This window comes from Homo sapiens, chromosome 4 (genome assembly GCF_000001405.40).
Source record: "Homo sapiens chromosome 4, GRCh38.p14 Primary Assembly".
Taxonomy (NCBI): Eukaryota; Metazoa; Chordata; class Mammalia; order Primates; family Hominidae; genus Homo; species Homo sapiens.
Window position 1 is genome coordinate 73,655,446 of NC_000004.12, and position 9,148 is coordinate 73,664,593.

General features: G+C 39.1%; 1 annotated feature.

The window, feature by feature from the left end:
- Nucleotides 6,182-6,387: a silencer, noted in NCBI's record as "fragment chr4:74527344-74527549 (GRCh37/hg19 assembly coordinates)". NCBI's record gives its function as "represses an EF-1alpha promoter that drives an FKBP-Casp9 reporter gene in an ReSE screen in K562 erythroleukemia cells {active_cell/tissue: K562}" and the evidence as "EXISTENCE:reporter gene assay evidence [ECO:0000049][PMID:32094911]".

Sequence of the window (9,148 nt, forward strand, 5' to 3'; positions counted from 1 at the left end):
TTTTTGACTCAGAAATAATGGAGTCCCTGCCTTGAACGTCCCTGCCTTGAGTCCCTTGAGTGTCCAGGCGTCTTTGAACAATGAGAATTTCAGATTCTACTGTGTTTGCTTTTCTTTTTAGAAAATATTTTAGAAAATGATTCTGAAATTTATATGAAAATGCTAAGTATATCAAACAAATCTTTGAAAAACAGGAACAAAGATGGAAGACACATTATTTGATTTTAAGACTTACTTATAAAACTACAATATAATCACAACTATGGTATTGGCAAAAAGAGAGATAATAAAAAACAATAGAGTCCAAAAATAGACTAATATATTTATGATCAATTGATCTTGACCATGGAGAAAAGAAGTATTTTAAGCATTGGTGTTGAAACAATTGGGTATTCTATATACAAAAATAAACTTGGATCACTATCCTGTATTGTATACAAAATTAACTAGAAAAAGATCACAGAGAAACTAAAACTGCAAACATTTCTAGAAGAAAACACAAAACCTTGAGTTAGGCAAGGATTTAATAAATAGGATACAAGAACCACAAATCATAAAATTAAAAACTGAATAACTAGATTTCTTAAGCATTAAAAACACTGTAAACATTAGGAAAGATGCTTTAAGAGAATAGTAAGTAAAGACTGGGAAAAATAATTACCAAACATATATGTGATAAAGAACTAGAATATATACAAAATTCTTATAACTCAACATTAGTAAACAAACAACCCATTTAAAAACTGGGCAAAAGAATTGAGCAAATATTTTACAAAAGAAGGCATGCAAATGTCAAGTAAAGACATAAAAAGATGCTCAACATCACTTGTTATCAGATAAAAGCAAATAAAATCTTAATGCAATATTAGTGTGCTCCCACTAAGTTCACACAAAGACTAGGATGAAAATGGTCATAGCAGCTTTACTCATAATAGCCCCTTTACTCATAATAGCCCCCAATTGGAAACAACTCTAATGTCTAAAAAATATTGAATAACCAAAGAAATTGTTGTATATCCATAGAGTGGAATACTTTTCAGCAATAAGAAAGTAGACTACTAATTCTCACAACATAGATTAATCTTAAAACGTTATTCTGAGTGAAAGAAGTCACATACAAAAAAACCAATGTGTTATATAATTCCAATTATAAGAAATTCTAGAAAAGGCAAAACTGTAGTAATAGAAAGCAGGAAGAATGGCTGTCAGAGGCGGAGGGTGGTGAAAGATGTCTAACTAATAGGAACACAAGAGAATGTTTTTTGTTTGTTTGTTTGTTTGTTTGAGACGGGGTCTCACTCTATCACCCAGGCTGGAGTGCAGTGGCACGATCTCAGCTCACTACAAACTCCGCCTCCCGGGTTCAGGCCATTCTCCTGCCTCAGCCTCCCGAGTAGCTGGGACTACTGGCGCCGGACACAACGCCCGGCTAATTTTTTTTTTTTTTTTTGTATTTTCATTAGAGACGGGGTTTCACCGTGTTAGCCAGGATGGTCTCAATCTCCTGACCTCATGATCCGCCTGCCTCGGCCTCCCGAACTACTGGGATTACAGGCATGTTTTGAGGTGAATAATATGTTCTATATTTTTATTGTGGTGTTGGTTATACAACTGTAAACATTTTTCGAAACTCACCAAATTGTTCTTGTAAATTTGGTGATTTGATTATATGTGAATTCTACCTCAGTGAAGTTTATTTTTACAAAAAGGAGTCAGGGAAGTGGGTATGCTGGAGTAGACATACTGTGTAAGACTGAAAACCCCACAAGACGATTATGTCGCATAGAACGTCCTGGTGGGTAGATCACTTGTGAAGGCCACTGGGAACATGTTGGTGAGATTGGCATCAACATCAGTAGATTCAGTGGTATATCTCCCAGGCTGGCTGGAGCTGATGCATAAGGCCATCTGGCTGTACTTAGCCATCAAGAACAAGTGGATGTGATCGATATAATGAGTGGCAAGCTCAGAGTGGTCGGTGTAGGACCCTGACCTGCAGAGAATGATCGTGACGGTTAATAGAACATGGTATATCCTAGAGGTGAATAGCGGGGCCACCAACAAGGACAGTACTCAACTTGTACCATCAGAAGAAATCAAGGTTGGATGGTCAAGAGATTGAGTGCGGTTGTGCCAATAAAATGTCTTGGTCCTTTTCCCAGTTTCCAGACCTAAGCCTGTTTTTAATACTGGAACCCATTAATTAACCCACCTGTGTGGGAGTCATTCCTACTTCCAAATATGTAGCTGGGCTTGATATACATGATAGTTGGTACAAATCTTATGTTATGTCCTTGGTGGGTAGGGTAAGAGCTGTCACAGATGAGAATGTCAAATACAAGCACTTAAATGATCCACCTCCACCCACCTATTCCTGGTCAAAATGGTAAGTAAAAAGCAGGGTAGTATATTAGAGGAGGGAGGGCAGTTGAAAATTGTTGCCACTCTTAAGTATCTGGAAGACATGGTGGGGGTTGTTCCTGTCATATTTCATTTAGCAGTGTGGCTTCTGAAGAAAACAGATGATACTGGTGGACTATTGTCTCCACAAACTCAACCAGGTGGTAGCAACACCCCTAACTGCAGCCACTGTGCCAGACCGAGCAGATGAACCTGGCCTCAGATATGTGGTGGGGAGCTACTGATTTGGCAAGTGTTCTTTTCTATTCCTATCAAAAAAGAGTTCCCGTTCACATAGAATGGATAATCATATATATTCAGAGTTTTTCCCTGAGGCTGCCCCATCTTTTGTAATAATATAGTCTAAAGCAATTGGACTGTCTAGACATCTTCCAGAATATCACACTGATCCACTGTGTCAATGACATCATGGTAATCAGGTCAGATGAGCAAGAATTGGCTGGCACATTGGAGGCTTTAAGACAAATGTGCTCCGGAGGGTAGAAGAGAAACCCTTCAAAGATTTAAGTTCCTGACATACCAGTGCCAGCATATTCCTTCCTGCCCCTATCATATGTATCAGTAGGCCTATCTCCTTCTACGTCCTCCTGATGGTCGGGGTCAAATCCGTGATCAGCATTACCAAGCCATGATGGTGACTCCTTTTCTTGCCTGCTGGTGCCTGCACAGAAAAAGACTGAAGTGCTTTCAGAGGCCATATCTTATAATTCAATAGGATGCTTAGTTGTGGCCTATTTAATGTGTTCTTGATAGGGAACAAAATTTCTAACCTTGAAGCTTCCAGAATTGCCAGGAAAGAAAGCATACATTCCCCAAGTGCATCATTGGGATGGATGTTAAGCAGGACCACTTCTGCTTTCACCTCTTTATTCTCAAACTCATGCAGTCATCTGGTTAAGGTCATTGCACCATATAAGGTCTTCGGTTCAAGGTACATATACTACCTAGATGATGGCTCCCATTCTTGTGGTAAGATATCACCTCTAGGCTGGTGTTTCAGTTGTGCCTTTGGCAGGCCACTCTAATGCTCTATTGGGCTGCTGACCTCTGGGTGATTCAGTTTTTGATACAATCAGTGAATCTCACGGCCATGAGCCAATTCCTTTGTCTCCTGTGTGTGTCTCTGATTAAGCGTGATGTTAGGTGGCACCCCATACCCATGCACTGAACTCAGAAGATCTACTTTAGTGCCTCTTGGTGCTCTCTTGCCCAATTTTGATGGTAAATAGACAAGTGTAGCAATCCTGGCTTGAGAAAGGCACTGCGATCAGGGATGTAGGCTCATTGAGAACGAGTTTCTGGGTCACGTCACCAGGAAAGCCTCTAAGACAAACAGCGGTGGCAGCTGAAAAGAAGGGAGATCTACAGTGAACAATGAAGGAGGGAGACAATCAATTGAAATTCCACAGCCAGTTGCAGAGGCAAGGACTATAGTTCTTCCCACTTAATTGTCTTTCCTAAGTTTGCCCCAGGAAGAGAGGCCATAGAATTCTGGAAGAGCTATTCCCCATATATTGAAAAAAAGTGGATCCCAGCAGTGCTAGGGGTGGACGGAAGTGAACATGCAGCTGTGCCACCCAGATTCTCTTTCATTGCCACTGGAGCACTTCAGCAATCACACCAGCTAGAGAGTCACCTCACCCAAGGTCATGCCCTTCTGGGGCCTGCCCACACCCAGTAACTGATAAAAGTGAAGGGACAAAGACCCATTTGATTCAAGGCAGAACAACTCTGCTGTGCCATTAAAGCAGCAGGAATGATCATTTAAGCTACGACTTAATAGACAGTCTAGGAGAAGTAGATGCACATTTATTTAAAGTTTCTGCTATTGTTTGAAATTAGAATGCTATTAAATTTTCATTACTATGAATAATATGATGGAGATATCTTAAGCATGCAATTTTTCTCTCTTGAAAGAATATTTACAGGATAAAGTCCTAAGAGCAGTGTTACTAACTCAAGGCACATGTATATTTTTATACCTCCTGACCTCCATTGCTTAATTGCTTTTCATTTTATTTTATTTATTTATTTATTGTTTTTTGAAATAGAGTCTCGCTCTTTTGCCCAGGCTGGAGTGCAGTGGTGCAATCTCAGTTCACTGCAACCTCTGCTTGCCGGGTTCAAACAATTCTTCCTGCCTCAGCCTCCCAAGTAGCTGGCACTACAGGTGCCTGCCACCACGCCTGGCTAATTTTTTTTCTTTCTTTTTTTTTTTTTTCTCTTTTTTGGTATTTTTAGTAGAGACGGGGTTTCACCACATTGGCCAGGCTGCTCTTGGACTCCTGACCTGAGGTGATCCTCCCGCTTCGGCCTCCCAAAGTGCTGGGATTACAGGCGTGAGTCACCATGCCTGGCTTAATTGCTTTTCAAAAGAGTCTCACAGGTTTGCTGTGGCATACATAAACATATATGCTTCTGTATAGTCCACACCTTGTTGACTTTTCTAGCTCAAGTATTTGTAGACTCTCAAAAATTCTGCTCAGTTTTTCTTGGCATGAAGAATTGTTTAGCTAATTTTGAAAACTTGTGTTCACAAAGTCTAAAAATTTAATCCAAATTTGAATGAGGAAGATGAGACAGTTTATCAACTTTCTCTAATGAAAGTTACTGGTAACATGAAAAAACAATTTCCTACTCATACAATAAATCTACACATATCTTTTTCAGCCTTTTTGGACTTTGTTGTTGTTGTTGTTTAGTGGAAAGATTTGCTTTATATGATTAGACATTGAAAAATTTGTATGGCTTTGGGAAAGAAAAAGATGCCTCTGACATCCAGGAGCTGGCCTGGCACTCCAGCTATGTCTTAGCGATCTCCTCTTCAAATAAATGATTTCACAGAATACCGACATCAGACAATGCCACCCTATGACCATGGTGAATCAAGACAAAAACAAGACCTCTCCGTAACCATGCATGAACACAGGCAAAGAATGAAATCTGTTTAAATCACAAACATGGCCCAATATCTCCCAATCCTGGCTAATTAGAGTGGCTATTGCTTGTTTATTGCTGACAGTTTTAGCTTGACTCTAGTCTTCCCTCTTCCTAGATAAGAATTATTGAGAGATCCAGTCATGACCTTATATCACTTCCTAACAACATCCGATCTAGAGCAAAGCCATGCTTCTCAAACCCTCCTCCAAATCACGTGACACAAGGCCACATTCTGTAAGTTCTTTCTAATGCCCTTTTAGTAAGACACCCCACCCCCTGCCCCGCACCATGTGTGTTCCTGGAGGAGGACATTGAGAACTTTAAAAATTTACCTTTTAGTAATTTCAGATTAACTTGGTTAGATTTATTGGAGAGCAAAACAATTCTCCCTCAGGTGACTTCCAAGGGATAATTATGGGATAATGTATTAGGTTGATGCAAAAATAGTTGTGTTTTTTAACAGTAGTTTCAATGGCAAAACCCACAATTATCATAAGCTAGCCTTCCAGGTTAACTTTCCTAACTTGTACAATATTTCCTTTCCTGATTTCCTCAATTTCCATTATACTTTTCTTCAGACAAGTTAATAGTCCAATGAAATTTTTTCAAATGCTCAACAATCTTCCTCATTCCCAAATAAATTTTAATATATATGTATAAGCACATATACATGCATATTCATTATATATTTGTATACTTGTCACTTTAGACAATTTGAGTATAGAACTACTTTCAAGGAGATGACAATCCAGTTTGCCTTTGGCTGGTACACTTCTTGCCATTTGCTTATATAGGCATTTTGACATTTTGAAGTTTCCTCCCATCTTGAGTACAGCTGATCCAACTATCTGGGAGTAAACAGAAAGACCAATGGACACCCACAGGAAACATGCTGAGGTGCACATGGAATGTGGATAGGAAAGAGGTCTGTTATGATAAGAAGGGCTGTGGTGAGCATCATAGCCAATGTGGGGAGCCACATTCTGCAGCTCTTGGTAAGTGAGGTCAGTGGAAAGACTTGAGTCATGAAGTGTATATATCATTCTTTCAATTCCTGAGGAAAGCTTCATGGGGGAAACGATTTTGAATAAAATGAGAAACAATTAGTTTGGTCATGTTTTATTTCACAACAAAATTTCCTGTTTTTAGTTTAAAAGGTACCTATGACTAATAACGTTTTCCCCAAATTTTCAGGATATGAAGCTTGTGTTCCTTGAGTTTGACATAAATTGTGCTTCAGGCACTTACACAAGTTGATGAATAGCAATATAATTGACTCATTGTGAATGCCTTTATTCATATTAACCTATTATGATGAATTTCAAATTATAGAGTCTAGATTAGCAGTAGAGCAATTATCTGAGCAGTGAGCTTGTCTAGAGACTATTCTATATTTTTATCTTCAGGAAGATGTCCACAATGGAGCTCCTATTAAGACCATAGCATGCTGAAAGTAAATTCCTCACTTAGAATTATTTCAAGACAACAAAGCATACAGTATTGGTATCCATGTATCAGATAAGACTTTTCAGTTGCAGAGAACCCAACTCCTTGGGAACTAAGCAATAATGTAGATTTGTTGGTTCATAAAACTGTAAACCAAAGGAAGAGCCAGCATCAGACTTCTTTTGGTCAAGATTTTGGCCTCTGTCTTCATGCTGGCTTCATCCTCAGCCTGGCTGTAACCTCATGGTCACAAAGATGGCTGCCGTAACAGCTAAGGCTGCACACTTCCTTATTCATTTCCCAAGTAGAAAGCATCACTTCTCACAATCACCAAATGATAATTCCAGATCTTTACTCAGATTGAACCAAGGTAAATTGACCATCATTGCAAGGGGTGTAAGAATATGCTGAAGACCTTCCCCTGAGCTGGAAGTGGGTCAGTCCACTAAGAAATCATGGTTACTGCGTAATTACCAGGTGGTCACTACAGTTATTTCCTTAAAGGAAAATAGGGGTCCGTTTGGAGAGGAACAGGGGGAGTAGGTGCTGGTTAGACCTGTCAAGCATCTGCCATTTTAATATCTCTATAGAAAATGATATTACATCCTACCTATAAGTGGCAGTATTGGGCTAAAAACGTGGGCTCTGGACTTAGATCGTGGCCATTGAATTCCTAATTCATCACTTACTAGCAACATGGTTTTGTGAAAGTCACTTAACTTCTCCATTTCTCAGCATTTTTATTTGTAAAACAAAATTAACAGACTCTTGTAGAGTTTCTATGAAGATTCAATGGAAAAATGCATATAAAGCACTTAGTATAGAGCTCCTCACTTTGTAAGTACTTGGAGCAACATTTGCATGTGAACTAGCCACTTGATGGTCTCTCTAAGGCATCACTTTTATCTGCTTGGGCATCTGTGTGGTGCCCAGTGTGATTTGGGGGCTTCTCTTTCCATCCTCAGGTCATTTTTATCAGCTACTGGATTCATTTTAAGCAGACTTTTGACCCAGAGACTGGAGGGTGGTCTGATACTATAAAAGCAGTGTGTTCTGGTACATCGTGGTATAAATGTTCAAAAGGAAGCCCCACCAGGGGTTCCCAATAGGGAGTTTCCTTTGCAACGTGAATATCATTCTTAAGTGGTTTGAGAACAGGGTACAGCAGCATCTTACTGGGCATCAGTTTGTGTGCTCCTGTCAGGAAAATTACCATCCAAGCCCACTAAACCCACACAGAACCATAATGTTTTAATTATTCCTTTATTACTTCCTTCAGGTAATTGGAAGGCTAAATATACTTACATGGCAATACTCTATTTTATTTTATTTTAATTGAACTTCACTCTATAAAAGACTTGGAGTTAAGGTGGGGAAAACAGGAAGAAAGGAGGAGGAATAACTAGTTAGTTATTTGTTTTTAAAACTCACCATGTGAGGGCTAAAATCAAAGCTTGGATTACATTTGGGAAAATCTACATAAACTTTGTAATGTGTAAAGTAGGCAAATTAAGAGAGATTGCATCAAGTAACTCTGCCTTGCAAAATAATTCATCTTGTGTATTTACTAAAATGACAAACTTGGTGGTTTTGAAATGTGATTTGTGTTTTTAAGGGAAGCAGTTAGGGCAGAGTAAAGAACTTCAGCTTTGGAGACAAGAAGACCTGTACTCAAGTCCTGACAGCACTGTTTATCAGATGTGTCACCTTGGAAATCCCTTGACATCTCTGAGCCTCAGTTTCCAAATCTGTGAAAGAGAGATAATAACACTATCTTTGTAGAGCTTATGGGATGATTAGAAATAATGGGCATGGTTGTCTAGTACAGTGTATGGGAAATATTAAGAGTGCAAAATAATTCTTATTTATAAAAATTTATTGTACATGTACATTTTGTAAGGAAAGATCTGTTATATAATGCAAACCACTCAGATTTCCATGACCTGTTGTCGAGTGTCCTACACCCGATCATAAAAAATTCTCCTCTTACAGGGTCTCATGGCTTCAAGTCTAAAACAGAAATTTACATACATCCTAGTGCCACTGAGGAGAGCAAATAAACAGAAACTGCCATTATCAGTCCACTAAATCTGTAGTTCTCAATCTTGGCTGCACATTGTAATCACTTAAGAAAGCTTAAAAATCCTCAGTGCCCCAACTATACTCCTGAAAAATTAAATCAGAAGTTCTGGGATTGGACCCAAGTATCAGTGCTTATTTAAAGTTCTGCAGAAAATTCAAAGTGATGCCAAGGTGGAGAACCATTGTTTTAAACCATTGCTTCTCACGCTGTAATGTGTGCTGGAATCACCTTGGGGTCTTGTGGACTTGCACATTCTGG